A 17,091-nucleotide genomic window follows, 5' to 3' on the forward strand; every position below is an offset into this window, starting at 1 on the left:
TCTGAAGCTATTTTTCAACAAAATAGGGCAAGTCGTCAAGTATGCAGGAATCTTGGTAGATATATATATATATATATATATATATATATGTATGTTCTGGTGCATAATCACCTTGAAAATTTTAACCCATGAGAAGACATTCCTGCCTTTTTCCTTAGAAGGGAATCTGCCTGCCTCAAGGCCAGCTCAGTTTCACCGTTTAACAGAAACATAAACAGTGGTCTTCTTGTAGGATTCCTTTTGCTTTGTACCCCTGAGTGATCTTTTTGCCTTAATCACTTTAGTTATTTATCAGTGGACTGCGAAGTGAACGTTCACCTAAGTGGGGGAGACATCTCCCCAGGCCCACTCCCACCCCCATATTGGCTTCTCCTGGTATGTTCTGTCTCCATTACTGCTGACACTATCTGTTTAATCACCCAACCCGAAAACCTGAGAGTCAGTCAGCTTCCCACCGCCCCCCAACATCCAGTCATTCATCGCATCTTTCCCTCTTCTCTGGTAACTATTTCTCAAGTTCTCGTCGTCTCTTGCCTGAACTATTGGAGTGGATTCATAATTCCAACCTTCTTCTCCCCAGATCTATCCCCCGAACTAGAATGGATTGACTGAAATGTAGAACTTACTGTATCTTCCCTCCTTAATAGCTCCCCATCCCCTAGTTCCTCAAGCAGGCGAACGAGTGCCTCCCAGAGTGAACCAGAACCCTGGAGTATGCAAAAGCCATAGGATAAACAGGGCATTGACCTGGGGTTATCAGTTTTTCTTACTAGTAAGCTATTTAAAACAGTAATACAGCAAATATTTGCTGAGCACATACCATGTGCTAGGCCGTGTTCCAGGTGCTGGAGATAGAGGAGTGGGCACAACAAACATTTCTGCTCTCAGGGAGCATCCATTCTAGTGAGAGAATACAATAAACACAATAACTATTTTTATATAGTATGTTAGAAGGTGATAAGAGCTATGGCTAAAAACAAAAATAGAACAAGCCAAGAGGGAATGCAGGTCTTGGGGTGGGAAGATAGAGTGCACTTTTAAACCAGGTATTGAGAGAAAGCCTCAATTGGACAGTGACCTTTAAGCAAAGACATAAAGGAGGCAAGGAGTGTGCCATGCAAATATCTTGGAGAAAAGAGCTCCAAGCAGAAGGAACAGCCACTGCAAAGACCCTGGTGCATAAATGTGACGTATTTGTTCCAGGAACAGGGAAGCCATATTCTAAGAGTGGAATGAGCGAAAGGGAGAGTCGGGGGAGATCAGGCTGGAGGTAATGTTGAGCAGAGTTGTGATGGGACCTGATTTAACCTTCTAAAAATGACACACTGATGTGTTGAGACTCAGCTGCAGGGGCATCAAGGGTAGAAACTTAGGGTCTTTTTTAAATTTCATATTTTCAAGACGGAGTCTTGCTCTGTTGCCCAGGCTGGAATGCAGTGACCTGCTCTTGGCTCACTGTCTTCACCTGGATTCGAACGATTCTCCTGCCTCAGCCTCCTAAGTAACTGAGACTACAGGCATGCACCACCACGCCCAGCAATTTTTTTATTTTTTGTAGAGATGGAGGTTGCGGGGGCGTTCTCACCATCTTGCCCAGGCTGGTCTCAAACTCCTGGACTCAGGCGATCCTCCAGCCTTGGCCTCCCAAAGTGCTGGGATTACAGGCATGAGCCACCACACCTGGCCAAAGCTTGAAGTCTTGTTGGGGGTGAGGGTGGTCAGATTCCGGATATATTCCCACATTAAAGTCAACAGAATTTAGGAGGCTGTTGAAATCATCTGTGGAAGAGGTGATCAGAGTCTAAATTGAAATCAGGTGGGGGATGATGGCGAAGAAGAAACAGATTAAACATTTAAAGATGAAGTCTTGCAGACCCAAGGTAATTTAAGTATATTCATAAATTCTCCCATCTGGTTTCCTTTGCAGAAGGGTTGATAGATTGGTTGTTTAGTTGATTGGTTGGTTGCTCGCTTTGGCAGCACATATACTGAAACTGGAAATACAGAGAAGATTAGCATGGCCCCTGCGCAGGAAGACATGCGGATTCGAGATGCATTCCACTTTTAATTAAGAAAATAAATACGTTTGTTTTCAGCCTTTTCTTTAGGAAAGAGAACTTTGCCCAATTTATGGTCTGGGAATATACATCAGGAATTGGATTAGTTAGAAAAGCAGTAGAGGGTTGTAGTGAAGTCAGATCTGGGTTTGAATCCTCATTCTTGCGTTTATCAGCCTTGGAAAGTTATTCGAGCTTTCTTTGCCTTAGTTCCTTTATCTGTGAAATGGAGTGCTGTAATAATACCCACTTCACAGGTCGTCGTGAAGATTAAATGAGAATGACGTAAAACCCTTAGCATGCCACTGACACGTAACAATACATAAGCCAACAAAATTCCTGACACCAATTTTGGAGGCTAGTGGACTTTTATCTTTTGTTTTTAATATTGTTACTCTGACCCTGTTAGTATAAAATTTTTTTTCTTCAAAATTTAATGTTCACCGCTCTTCTTTGTGTCTGGAATGTAGCCCTAACAATCTGGTGCTTGACCAACCAAATATGGCGAAAGATACTTCCTGCTAAGATGAACAGATTTTTATTAACCTGTCCAGTGCCGATAGCTTTTGACATAGAGTGTGATTGCTATATGCCCTTCCACAAGTGAAAAAGAATTTTTTTTAAGCAAGGCACTGTGGGAACAAGACAGAAGTTTCCGGAGTCTTTGCTATTTCCCAGGAATTTGCAAGTCAAGTTGAGGAGAAAATACAATAAAAAATAAGAGCTGTGATTCCCATTCAGGTGGATGTGGAAGATCTTCCTCCTTCCACTCAGCAAGAAAGGAGATTCTGAGGAAAGAGAGGGCTCTGAAAATGGTGTAATCAGTGTCTTGATGGTTAAAGCTGACTTCAAAAGTATATATCTGAAGGGAGAGAGAAAGAATGGTGACTTTTATGTTTATTACCTAAGGAGAGGCACAGAGGGAAACCAATGTACGTGGACTTACAACAGAGATTGCTTAATTGGTGTGGAGTGGGGAAGGGTGAAATCAGTGATGCAGGATGAGGGACAGCTGGTATAGAGGATTCCCAATGGGCCTTTGGAAGCCTGGGCCTCCAGTGGAGCCGGATTGTCATTCCAAGGAGTTTTGTCTGCAGTTGTCAGGACAGGTGGCTACTAGCTTTGCCAGGATTAGGGTAGAACAGGCCACACCTGCTGTACATAGATATCTGATGACTGGTTCTGGGCTGCAAGTTTTTGTTGGTTCTTTGCTAAGCAGTTTCTCCCTGCAGGCCCCAGTCCAGCCGTACATCTGGCAACTAAATCCTCTTCATCCGTTTATCTGGGAAGATGAAAGCTCTGTGGCCAACCTGTACTAGAACAGGTCTGATTGGCCCTTGGAGTGAGTGTATGGAAAGAGTTGGGGAGGAAATGGCCCAGCAATGAGGTCAGTAACAGGCGGAAAGGGGACAATTGCATTTTATTTATGGTCATGAAATGCTTGTCCCCCACCCCACCCTTTAAACAGGTGATAGCCATGAAAATGGAGGTGAACTAATTTGTTGATCAGCTCTTCCATGACTCTTAAATGCTTGAAATTCCAGACCCTAAAGTGGTTGTCAGACTGGAGATACTAAAATTTACTGTATATCAGAATCCCCACAGGAACTTGTTCAAAGTGTAAAATTCCTGAGATTCTGATCCGGGGAGTCCTGGCCTGAGTGAGCCTGGGAATCTGTGTCTTAATACCCTTAGGCAAGCATTTTTTCCAACTTTTTTTTTTTAACCAGTAAGAAACATATTTTACATTGCAATCCTGGGTATGTATCTGAAACAGCAGTTTTACAAAACTGTATTTCCCCTTACTAAGATATTTTCTATTCTGTTCTAGTTCATTCTTTATATGTACATATATGCTAGTCAAACCCACTAAATTGATTTCATGATCTATGTGAGTCTCAGTCTACAGTTACTAAACTCAGCACTGGAAGAGCCTTTATGGGATCTTCCCAGTCATCTTTCTTTGTTCCATAGCTTCCTTTCATTCATCCATTAAGCAAATATTTCTCAAGCACCGTTTTAGAGGTTGGGACTACAATACTGAACATAACAGGCAAGAGACCCTGCCCTCATAGTGCTTATACACTGTTCCATATTTTTTCCAAATCCCAGCTTCTGTTGTTTCTTCATTACACCCCCTACACCTCAGGGTTGAGCAAGTCTTTCATAGAAATAAAGGGTTGTGGGACTGAAGGGGTACATGGGGGAATCCTTGTTAAGTTTGGCTGTGTTTTGTTTTTTTCAGTTTTGCCCACCTTAGCCAAAAAAACAAAAACACCCAAAGCCAACATGGCCTCAAATGTATTATTTATGGTTTGTGGGAAGAGGAAGGAGAACTCATCTGGGATGGCACAATCTGTTTGTAGTTCCCCAGAAAGAAAGCATGGGGTATTGCTACTTAAAACAAGCCAGCAAAAGCAATTCTGAGGTGAGCACCCCCCAACTCCCTGAAAGAAATGCACACACACACAAAAACAAGTATGAGTACCAGGTCCTCAGTATACATTTCTGCAAGTATAATCTGATTATGCTTAAAGAGCAGCAATTTTTTAAGTCAAAAGTTTGATTATGATTAGCATTACTTTGGATTTTCAGCTTGAATCTGAGTGGAGTGGAGTGATGTTCTGAGAAATAAATGAGTGGAGTGATATTCTGAGAAATAAATATGTCAAGTAAGATGAGTTACCTACACTGCAAAGATGGAATGCATAGAAAACTCTCCAACAAGGCCCTCTTCCCAGAGAATTTCAGGAAGCATGAGATGTGATAAGGTTACAGAAGTGGGAAACTGGGTTTGCACCTGAGAAATAATTGGAAACAGTGGTAGGTGAGGGTGATTGTAGTAGGTTTGCTGGTTTGGCCCAGTTTTTGCCCTTTCCTGGCCCTGAAGTATATTTAACTGCCGTCCATGTCATTGAAGACTGGAGACCTTGGGCTCAGTAATTATGTCTTTTAATGTGGGTCTGGTATGCAGCTACAGCCTTGCTGGATTTAGCAGAGACAAGTGGAGAAAAGACCTCTGGATTTTTCCTTCCGCTCTCTGCAAACAGACCAGGCAGCAGTTTCATCATGAATTCAGGAAACAGATGGCTAATGTTTTGAGAATTAAATATGGCAAGGAAAATTAGATTAAGCATATCACAGCCTGGATGCCTATTGCTAGAGCAGCTATTAAAGACAAACTTCTGCCCCATCTGCTGGGACAGCAGCCCATATCAGGCTGTGGTACCCCCACCCGGGGCCCCTAGGATTAGTGTCATTCTGTGGTCAGCTGAGTAAGAGCACTGGGTACTTGGCTGCTAGCTGAGTATGTGTGTTTTCTAGGACCTTGCTCCTTCCATTTGGTGGTGAACCCATTGATAGCATCTTTGTTTTATTTTCTCTCTCCTCCTCCACTCACTCCCTAGCCCTGATTGATTTCTGTTTCCATAGCAAGTCCGGGTTTAATTCTCACCTTTTCAAAATTTGTACTTACAACAGAGGAGAGCATAGAATATTAGAACCCACTAGGATGGAAAGGGCATGATTTGAAATCAGACCTGAGTTTAAATTCCCCCTCTGCCACTTACTGATTGTGTGACCTTGTCTCTTTTATCATAGTTGCATGTTTTCTTGAAGCCCCAGCCCCCATCTCCCAGAGACTACAGCTATACTGATAGAGGACATTCCCTTCTGCTCTGGGTTTTTGTCTTCAGCCTCATCCCCTCCATATGCCAACAGTGCTGTGCACATAGTCGTTAATTGGTTAATAAGGGTTAGCCATTCACACTAATAAAGAATTAGCACATTCACCATTTGAATGAAGAGGGCTAATAAATACATTTGGCAAATATTTATAGAGTCCTGTTATGTGCCAGGCATTGTTAGGTAATGGATGTGCAAATCTGGGCATGGGGCCTGTGGTGGTATCCTGGGTGGGAATGCTTCTTTGAGCAGGTGCCATTTAAGCTGAAATCTGGAGGAGTTGGGAAGGCAAAGATGGAAGTTGCAACACAAAGTCCTCCAGACTTTGGAGTCTCACATGCAGTCTTCATTGGTTAGGTCTACTGACCTCTGCATTCATCACTATGCCAGATTTTCCTCTAGCACTTTAATTACCTGGCTGCTACTGCTCTTTTAATTGGTCCTGATTTCTTATGTCTTCCTAATAGAAAGCACCAAGTTTGTTAATTTATTTCTCCTGCCCTGTACTTCATAGCAAGCTTTTCTAATTTCCTTTCCCCAGCCATAATTTCTGTTGGTGCCCTATCTATAGCCCCTTGAAGCCCCCCATTCCCTTACATGCCAAAGCTTTTGCCTACGTGTAGATGAGATTCCATGCCTGAGGGCTTTCTCTGGGCAGGAATACTGGGGAGTCCCCAAATAGTGACCAACAGCAATTGATGGATTAATACCCCAGCACTCGTGCCCTTGGTTGAGACAGCTCTGGGGTAGTTTCTAGATGGTTTACTGGAGTCCCCAGAAGATTTGAACCCCAATTGCCCATAGGGATAACCTGCCTATTAGCCTACTCCAGGTTGGCTTTCTTCCCTTCCACCTCTGTCTTCTCCACTCTTTCTAGTGCTTCCTGGCATCACTTCCCAAATAAACTACTTGAAGTCAGAGCTTCAGAATCTGCTTCTGGGGGACCCAAACTTAAATAAAGGGCAGATACGGGGTTTTGGTAAGTCATACCATGCAGACCTTGTCCAGTGTCTGCCCATGGGTGAAAATTCAGAGCAGCACTGAAAAGGTCATTGCATGAAGAAAATACCCAGACTTAACTGGGAAAGGAGAGGAATATAGAAAAGAAAGTTTTACTCCCTGCTGCATTATTTAATCTTTTCTTGTACCTCATTTACTCTTCACTGAACAATTTTGCAAGATAAATCTGTCAATTTCCTTTCCTGCAGGTAAAGAAACTGAGGCCAGAAAGATTAAGTAACTTGCCCAAGTTCACAGACTTGGGGCAACACAGCCAGGATTCTGATAGAAACTGTGCTGCTTTCTCAGTCCAGTAGTCCTCAAATGTGTTGAGGAGGCCCAGCGTATGGTGTCAGTATGATTTTTACAGATTATAGTAAAATCTCAACATATTAGATTCAAAATAGCTAAGTATGTTATTGAAGTATAGTTAAGCTTACTCTTCCATAGAGGCCACTTCCTCCAGGAAGGCTTCCTTAACCTCTGCACCATTCCCATGTGCTGCACAGCACCCTGAATCCTGCTGTAGCCCATCAGGATAGTTTATTGAAATTTCCTGTTTAATTGTTTGTCTGTATCTCTCAAACTCAGAGTAGAATAAGGGTCAGGATTGTACCTTACTTATTGTTGTGGCCCAAAACCTAGAACAGACCTCAGTGTATATAGTACATGGTTAATAAATACGTGAGTGGATGACTATACTTATAGCTAAATATAGTTATGCCCAATCAATTACTAGATTCTGATCTAGATATGTAAGAGGCAGCAGAGGTCTGAGAGAGTTGGATTAATGGGAGAAAAACTTGAGAAAAGCCTGTCATTCAACTTTGTTTTCAATTTGGGGAGCAGGGCAAGAGCCTGGTTTGAGAACCTTTGTCCCCTGCCCATGTTGACTTTGGAGGAACTTTGTGGCAGTGATGGAACAGCTGCCACGTCGAGGAGCCTCCTCACAACCTCCAGCTGCCTCCCCAGATCAGCAGGGGTGATCTGCCTTCAGCTTTCTACCCCTAGCTTTCAGGGCCTCAGTCAGTCCTTTAATTTTGTCCCCTGAAGGGCGTGAGGCTAGGGGAACAGGCATTCATTGAACAACTGTGTATCTCCTACTCATTCTTCAAGAGAGGCCACTTCCTCCAGAAAGGCTTCCCTAACCCCTGCGCCATTCCCATAAGCTGCACAGCACCCCGAATCCTACTGTAGCCCATCAGGATAGGTTATTGAAGTTTCCTGTTTGTCTATATCTCTCAAACTCTGAGCAGAATAAGGGTCAGGATTGTGCCTTATTTATCATTGTGTCCTTAAAACCTAGAATAGACCTCAGTGTATAGTACATATTTTATAAATATGGGAGTGGATGAATGTATCAATTTTATGCTAGTTCCTGAAAATACAAAAATTGTTAAAAAAAAAAAAAAAAGCGTTTTTGTTTCTCAAGAGCTCCTGGGGGTCTAGAGAGATGAGTAAGTAAATAATGAAATTATGGTACATAAGTGGCCTGTCCTTGTTGATGTCACGGGAGGCCTTCTGTGGGAACTGGGGCTTCCATTTGATTTTAAATGAATAGTAGTTGGAGGCAAGCACAGGATGTGCAAAAGCATTGAGATACGGCACAGAATGACTCATTCTAAGAATTACAGGTAGCTCCAAATGGCTGGAACACATTTCTAGATAACAAACCTAGGAAAACTAGTTGAGACCTGGCTGAAAGCGTTTAACTTTGTACTAAGCATTGTGGACTTTAGCCTAAATACCTGGGGTGTACCACTGAAGGATTCTAACTGGGGGAAAGACATGCTGGTTTAGAAAGACTGCCCAGGGCAGCAGGTGTTTGTCACACTCCTCGGTGTTTTTCTCCCTTGTGTCCTCAAACCCACTTATACAGGGCCTGGTACAAAGGACATGCTCAGTAAAGACTGGCACCTTTAAATGGGAGTAGGAGGAGAGAATATCACCAGAATTGGTGTAGAAGATCCATCAGAGGTGGAAAGCCTAGGAAGGCAATCATTGAACTCATCTGACTGTTTTTTAGGATTCCTTCATTGTGCATTTATTTCCTTCTTGGCAATTGTTACATTATCCTGAGCTTGTGGGATTATTCTATGTATTCATATGTAAGAGTTTCATACTTGTTGAATAGTTATTTAGAGATTGCTTCTATGAAAGAAAACTGCGCTTCCTGCATCCACCTTTCTGTTCTAAACACAGCAGCCAGAGTGATCCTTTTTGAACTTACGTGAGGGCCTGTCATTCCTGTGCTCAGAATCTTCTAGTGGTGCCTCATAGAATTCAGCGTCAAAGCCAAAGGCTTTATCATGACCTAGGAAGCCTGCATGACCTGGCTGCTCTCTGATTTTTCTACCCACCTACCTCTGCGCTCTACACTGGCCTCCTTGCTATGCCTCAAACACACATGCTGTTCCTTGGATCTAGAACACGTACACCAGATACTCACAGGGCTCACTCCCTCACTTTGTTCAAGCCTTTGCTTAGTGATCGTCATCTCAGTATGGCCTTCCCTGACCACCATGTTCAAACTTAATAACATCTGCTCTGAACTCTCTGTTCTCTCCCTTGCCCTGTTTAATTTTTCTGCACAGCACAGATCAATTTTACTATATCATATAATGTACTTATTTTTTGATGTGTGATTATCTGTTCCGCATTACTGGAATGAAGTCCCACGAAGGTAGTGTTTTGGGTCTGATTTACTACTCCTTCCCAACACCTAAAATGATACCTGGCACCATAGTAGGAGCTCAGTAAATATTTGTTGAATTAAGAAATGACAATACCCTTTTGTATTGCTCTTTTAGGTAAACTGTGCCTTTTGTAAACCTGAAAGAAAGCATATTAGTCTGTTCTCATGTTGTTAATAAAGACATACCCAAGACTGGGTAATTCATAAAGGAAAGAGGTTTAATTGACTCACAGTTCAGCCTGGCTGGGGAGGCCTCAGGAAACGTACAAGCTTGGTGGAAGGGGAAGCAAACGTCCTTCTCCACATGGCGGCATCAAGTGCAGAGCAAAGGGGTCGGGGAAGCCACTTGTAAAACCATAAGATCTTGTGGGAACTCACTTATCACCAGAACAGCATCAAATTACAGGGGCGGTTATCACCAGGTAACCGTCCCCATGATTTGATTACCTCCCACTGGGTCCCTCCCGCAACACATGGGGATTATGGGAACTACAATTCAAGATGAGATTTGGGTGGGGACACAGCCAACCATAGCAGAAAGGGAAGAAGATTTATTTGCCTTTTAAATAAGGTCACTACTGAGTCCACATCAGAGAGAAACAAGGCCTTCCTTTGCACCCAGAAGCACCACAATATCTTATTGATGTCAATGAATTGACAATGTCATTGAATGACATTTGAGAGGGTGGGACTTGCTCTGTACCACTCTTCATGCCACAGCCTCCGATTGGCTGGCTAGAGCTGAAGGGAAGAATAGGAAAAGTGTTCTGGGTTTCTCTTTTTGATTTGCTGAGAGAGTGTGGTGGTCACTTCAGGGTACATAGATGATGGAATGGGGAATTTAACACGAATTAAATTACTCATCACCACAATTATTTTTCTGTTCAACAGAAATGATTTTTCAAACAAAAATAATTGTGAGGATGAGTAATTTAATTTGTGCTAAATTCCTCATTTAAGCTAAATGTTGTATATTCTTTATGTGTTTGAAAAGACTCAGTAGACTTGATAGGGTGAAAGAATGGTGATGGCAAACACTTGTTTTCCCTCCAAAGGTGTTTCATGGGACTCCCTTCCGGATGAGCTGCTCTTGGGAATCTTTTCCTGTCTGTGCCTCCCTGAGCTGCTAAAGGTCTCTGGTGTTTGTAAGAGGTGGTATCGCCTAGCGTAAGTATTTTTCACCCCTTTGGCAAACGTAGGGGAGGAAGAGGAGAGGAAGGTTATTTATTCGTTTTGGTCTGATGAAACTAAAAACCAAGAAAAATAGAGCAGCGCAAAGCAAACTAGGTATCTTCATATTTTTATTAATCAGTGTCCTCATTTCACAGTGGAAGAGGAATTTCCTGGGAGGGATAAACTTACCAATGTCTGGAAACCTCTTTGCCCTGTATTCAGTGCAGCATGTGTTTATGGGATGCTGACTGTAGGCCAGGCGGTGTGCTTTAAGTGCGGAGAGAGTTACAGAGGTGCATGCAGACAGCGGTTCCTCACGCCGCTGGGCTGAGCAGTGAGCACAATAGGGAGAGGGAACACAGGCTTGGTGTTAGACCCGAGTGCACACCCAGCCTCTGCTGCTTACGCTCTGCATGACCTGAGTGAGTTAGTTGACACTGCTGAGCCTCAGTCTCCCCATATGTAAATGGGGATAATGGTTATGAGGAGGAAACCACTGGTTATGAGGATGAAATGTGAAGATGCTGGTGTAATGCCTGACTCACAGACATGTTCCACACAGAGTAGCCATTGGTGGGGTTGTGCTCTTTTTTTGGCAACACTTTTCAAGTGTGGAAGGTGAGTTGCATGTGGAAAGACTTGGTGAGCTGGAAAGGCAATAACAGGCCTGGAGCAAGAAAAAGGCTATGTTTATCAACTGGAACTTTTTACTATCTTCATGCCTTCTCATCCCTATCCTACCTCCTGGTCATTCTTTGCTTTGTGTTTAAAGGCCATCCGTCTGGCTTCTCCCTCCACATACTTAGAACTCCCTGTGTGAGATAGCAGGAGCCTCTTGCCTTCAAGGGCGTGCTGCTATTTACAGGTGTGGGTTGTTTGCTTAGAAGAGCCGCAGAGAGGGTTGCACACCTGGAATGCTGGTGCAAGTGGCAGGCAAGTTTCACTTACCCTCACCGCACTCAACCCCACTTTGGTTTTCTTTTTCTGCCAGCTATGCATTTATCCTCTTCTTGCAGAGTCTGTTAATCCCATTTTAAAATTTTATTGTATATATTTAAGGTATACAGCATGATATTTTGTTATAAGTATGTGAAATGGCTGCTATCATTAACATATTCATTATCTCACATAGTTACCTATTTTTTGTGGCAAAAGCACCTAAAATTTACTCTTTTAGCAAACATTCTGACTACAATACAGTATTATCGACTCTAGTTCTCCTGTTGTATACTATATCTTGGGATGTGTTCATCCTGCATATCTGTGGCTTTGTATTCTTTGACCTACATCTCCCTTAGAGTCTGTTAAACTTCATCTCAGTTGTCATAAAAGTAATTACTGACATTTATTAAGCACTTGCTTTGTGACAGGTGCAGTGTTTGCAATTTAATCCTCCATATGATTTTAAGTGATGGTGTTTGTGTCATCTCAGCTTCAGAGGTGAGGAAACTGCAGGGTCAGGAATAGTAGGTTGAGAGATAAGTGGAAAGGCAGGAATCTAAAGTTTGGCTAACTCCACGGTCTTAACCATCATACCATATCTAGTTATGCTTGGCTTAGGGTTCAGGTAGCTCCCAAATTCATTTTTCTGTGAGGTGTTCATCTTCCTAAAAAATGTATATTATTTGGAAAGAAAATGAATTGTTCCAAAACTTCTCCCAGGTTGTTGTTATTGAATGCTGGTTAAGCTATAGTTTGCCTTCTTGCAAGAGGAAACATCAAGCATGAGATTCAAGACAACCAGAGCAGTGCTGATCTGGTGTCAATACCAATACCTTGGAGGCCAAAATGGATTTCTGTCTGGGCAAGAAAGATACAAAAGTGTGCCACTCTCTTAAGGATATCTTATCTACAGTCCACCTTTTTAATGATAGATTTGTCACACAAATCACACTGACAATTTTTTTATGATGAAGTTATTTCATAACTCTGGCCAGTGGTCCACTTATTTCAAGCACTATTAAAAAAGAAAATTCTAGTACACCTAAGCATTTAAAATGTTCCTTCATGTGCTTATATTTCACATTTTCTTTTTTTAAATTGAATTAAACTATGGATATTAAAACCCTCTTACTGTGCTATTCAGTACGTTTTTAGAACATCCCTTTTGTTTTAGAAACACCATCTATAATCCGTTGTATTTTTCCCTTATTTCACATTAGTTCATACACACACATATGTACACATACATATACACGTGTATGTTTTAAGCTTCAAATATATTATAAGGCACAGCTGAACCATGACTGTTGCTATTGAATATCTATGACAGCCTTATTTCATAATAAAATAATGCTAACTTTCGTTCCTTTAGTAATTTTCCATGTTGCTACAGTAATCATAATTGCTTGACAAAAGTGTCAAATAGATTTAAAACTTCTTAGAGGATCCTATTTGCCTAGTAATATAATAATTAATTGATTTGAGCAATCATTTTTTAAATTTGTCAACTTGAATGCTGGAATATGATTCTCTGGTTCTAGATCACGGCAGTGCTAATGTTCACATTGAACCATCTAAATTGGAAGTATATAGAAAGAGAAAGATGGAAGCTTATCCCTGGTGAAATCAAGAAAAATTCTCTAGTGCCTTAAAAATATCATAGCTAATTGTATAGCCAACTTAAAAACAAAAGTTCTTTTAGAATATGCTTCAAGGAGATTTAGCAGCAGTGTCCTACCTGTTAGTAATGTTGTTGAGGGCTTCCAGCATTTAGTGTGACCGACTGGCCAAATTAAGTATCTCCTCTTTTATAGGTCTGATGAGTCTCTATGGCAGACCTTAGACCTCACAGGTAAAAATCTGCACCCGGATGTGACTGGTCGGTTGCTGTCTCAAGGGGTGATTGCCTTCCGCTGCCCACGATCATTTATGGACCAACCATTGGCTGAACATTTCAGGTAAAGATGAAAAATCCCTGGAAAAGACTATTTCTAAATTTCGAGGTAGAAACAGATCAAAGCTTTTTTTTTTTTTTTCTTTCTTCAGCCTTAAAGCCTATGGTAGGTTATCTGTGCAGTGTGGGATGTTAATTCCATACTTTGCTATGGGGCCTTTGTGCTAAAACCTAGCATAGATTTCAATGACACTGTTCCCATTTCACTCAAGTTTACTGTTAGTCTCTTCCCAGGGTGAAAGAGGCACATTTGTCTTCTCAAGTCCTCAGCTGATAGGGGGACTGTGAGTCCCACAAGGCAGGCACAAGTAAAGCACTCACTGGCAGATGCAAGGGTGCCCAGTTACTTCCCCAATGCCCATTTCTGATAAATAAAAAAAAGTGAGGAGTCTTTTCATGTTTGTAGCTTGGGGTTTATGATTTTTGTCTTGGAGAAATTTGGAACCTGAAAAAAATGCCCTCTTTTTGTTTGTTTTGTAGAATATTTTGAAAAAGAATTTTCTGTTCTGATAATTTTGCAATACTGAGGTTACTGCTATCACATAGTAGAATAACTAGGTACTGAACAGAAAAACAAGCTGAAGACAACAAAGCTAAAGATAAAACATGTCTCCTGACTCCAGTACTTTTTCCCTTCTTTCCGTAGTCAGGACCGCCTCTCCCACTGCTTTTTATCCTGTTCCTCCTGTGGCTGTTCCTTCTCAGTCTCCTTCACATATGTGATTTCCTCTGTTCACTCCAGGGTCGGTTCCTGGCTGCCACCTTTTTCAAATCCAAATGCTGTCCCTGGACAAGCTGTGTCCTCTACACCCACATTTATGCCCAGGACTCTCAGTTCCTCATCTATAGCTTGGCCCTCCCTTTCAAATTCCCAAATTTCTAATTACCTAAAAACGTCTGTACCTGAATTTCTTACAAGGACTTCAATATTAGCATAACTCAAATTTGGCCTCCCTTTTTTTTTATTGTTTTTGTTTTTTGAGACGGAGTCTTGCTGTGTCACCCAGGCTGGAGTGCAGTGGCGTGATCTCGGCTCATTGCAACCTCTGCCTGCCAGGTTCAAGCAATTCTGCCTCAGCCTCTCGAGCACCTGGGGACTACAGGTGTGCGCCACCACGCCCAACTAATTTTTTGTATTTTTAGTAGAGACTGGGTTTCACCATGCTGGCCAGGCTGGTCTTGATATCCTGACATCGTGATCCACTGGACTCAGCCTTTCAAAGTGTTGTGATTACAGGCGTGAGCCACTGCGCCCAGCCTGGTCTCCCTTTAAAACTTTCTCTTCCGCTACCTTCCCTGTTCTATTGCTGCTCACCCACTCACCCCTGCCAGAAACCAGGAGCCGTTATGGTCTTAATCTCCTTGTCACCCACATCCAGCTCATTGTTGTGATGCCCACTCGTTATTTTCTAAGTGGGACTATATTGGCAGCAACATCTGTACTTGGCAAAAATCCTCTTGCATTTTAAAATGAATGAAGATGGGAATACACTAGTAGCAATATGTTTTATGACCCTATAGTTAATGCTTGAAGTATGTATTTAGAGTCTTGTTTGTGATTGGCTGCTCATTTGGGGAGAAGAGGGGTCTGGTTTGAAATTGGATGTACCCGTGAGAGCCACCTATGGAGCTCCTTTTTTCTCTCCGTGTTTAGCCCTTTTCGTGTACAGCACATGGACCTATCGAACTCAGTTATAGAAGTGTCCACCCTCCACGGCATACTGTCTCAGTGTTCCAAGTTGCAGAATCTAAGCCTGGAAGGCCTGCGGCTTTCGGATCCCATTGTCAAGTGAGTGGCAGGCAGAGTGTCACAAAGGCAGTTGATTTTATGTGTATGAATTTTTTTCCCTGTATATAACTGGGGTGCCCTTCTAGCCATATCCAGGTGGATACAGAAAATATCTAGTGCAGTGCTCTAGCTTCTGCAAAACTTTTCAGGACTCATTGAAGCAACAAAAGCTTGAATGCTAACTATATGCCAGGCCCTGTGCTAGGTTCTAGAGATACAAGTACAAGGATGAACAATGCATGTGTATTATTTGGGAAGAAAATGAATGCTCTAAAACTTTTCCCACCTTGTTAGTGAATGCTGGTTAAGCTATAGTTTACCTTCTTGCAAGAGGAAACATTGAGCAAGACATGTCTATTTTCTCTTGCAAGAAGGTAAACTATTTATGAGCAAGACAGATAATTACCATGCAGTGTGTTTATTAAATGTTTCAGTGAATATGTGGCAACACACGAGGAGCCGCCTTGTTAGAGGAAGTGACTCTTGAGTATTGAAGATATCTAGGTAGGAGATCTCTAGGTAATAAGACAAAGCAACCAGTCTAGGTAAAACTTCCTGTGTGGTTCTAAACTCTTACGTAGTTGGAAGTTGCTGGAGCACAGGACTAAGGGAGGAGAGTGACAAGGTGAGGAGAGTCAGGGACCAGATTGTAATGGGCCCCTACGCCTTGCTGTAAGAAGAATGGACTGGACTCTTCCATTAAGAGGGAAGCATGGGCCAGGTGTGGTGGCTCACACCTGTAATCCCAGCACTTTGGGAGGCTAAGGTGGGCAGATCACCTGAGGTTGGGAGTTTGAGACCAGCCTGGCCAACATGGTGAAATCCTGTCTCTACTAAAAATACAAAAATTAGCTGGGTGTGGTGGCAGGCACCTGTAATCCCAGCTACTCAGGAGGCTGAGGCAGGAGAATCGCTTGAACCCGGGAGGCGGAGGTTGCCATGAGCTGAGACCACAACATTGCACTCCAGCCTAGGTGACAAGAGCAAAACTCCATCTGAAAAAAAAATAAAAAAAGGGAAGGATGGTGGAGAGAGTTGTTCTGAGAATGGAAGGAACAAGTCAAGAGTTGAAATTTAGGAAATTAACTTGCCAGGTACCATGGAGGGTCCATCGAGGATAGAAGAAGCTAGAGTAGTTAAGGATACTGCTGTGTTCGTTCAAGTGAGAAAAGGTGAAGTCTGATATAAAACAGATAGCAGTAATAGCAGCTAATGTTTTGGGGCATGTATTATGTGCCAGATAGTGAATTTTGTAAATGCATTTTCATTTAATTCTGACAGCAACCCTATGAAGTGTGATCTTGTTTCCTTTTTATAGTTGTGGAAACTGAGACACAGGGAGACTGAGTAAGTCTTTTCCAGGGTCACATTGTTAGTAGGTGGCTGAACCAACATGTGAACCTAGTGATACAATATTCCAGAATTCTTACTCTTAATCACTAAGTTTTACTAACACAGGGCATTTGGGGATGTATTAGAGAAGATGGCAAATTTGAGAGATGTATAATCAAAAGAACCTGGTGATTTTACAAGTAGATGTTTGCAAGCTAATTCTAATTATGGGTGAAATGGATATATGTTTATTCCATTGTCTTTTTAATTCAAAAAGTACATTGATTGATATTCTTGTGTATTTGCTTCATAGTAAGTCTTTTATTACATTATATCATTTAATCTTCTTAATAACTCTGCCAAGAAGTTTGATAATACCATTTCACAAATGAGTAAACTGAGGCAAATTATCCTGTTTGATGTCTGAGAGATAGTGATATACATTTTAAACTCACTGACTCAAAGA

General features: G+C 42.0%; 1 protein-coding gene and 1 pseudogene across 5 annotated transcripts in view; both read left to right on the forward strand.

Annotated features, from left to right (window-relative positions):
* The window catches only part of SKP2 (S-phase kinase associated protein 2), a 41,420-nt gene that overhangs the window by 1,044 nt on the left and 23,285 nt on the right, over window positions 1-17,091 (forward strand). For 4 of the 5 annotated variants that reach the window (XR_001742203.3, XM_047417536.1, NM_005983.4 and 1 more), the window contains exons 3-5: window positions 10,491-10,602; window positions 13,365-13,508; window positions 15,159-15,293. Coding sequence is in view for 4 of the 5 variants with exons in the window: in XM_047417536.1 (XP_047273492.1) it covers window positions 10,491-10,602; window positions 13,365-13,508; window positions 15,159-15,293 (391 nt within the window). In the remaining variant the exon portion in view is untranslated. The remainder of the gene's footprint in view (window positions 1-10,490; window positions 10,603-13,364; window positions 13,509-15,158; window positions 15,294-17,091) is intronic. The other variant, NM_001243120.2, reaches the window with a different exon arrangement.
* Window positions 1,966-2,066, forward strand: RNU6-1305P (RNA, U6 small nuclear 1305, pseudogene; annotated as a pseudogene).

This window comes from Homo sapiens, chromosome 5 (genome assembly GCF_000001405.40).
Source record: "Homo sapiens chromosome 5, GRCh38.p14 Primary Assembly".
Lineage (NCBI taxonomy): Eukaryota > Metazoa > Chordata > Mammalia > Primates > Hominidae > Homo > Homo sapiens.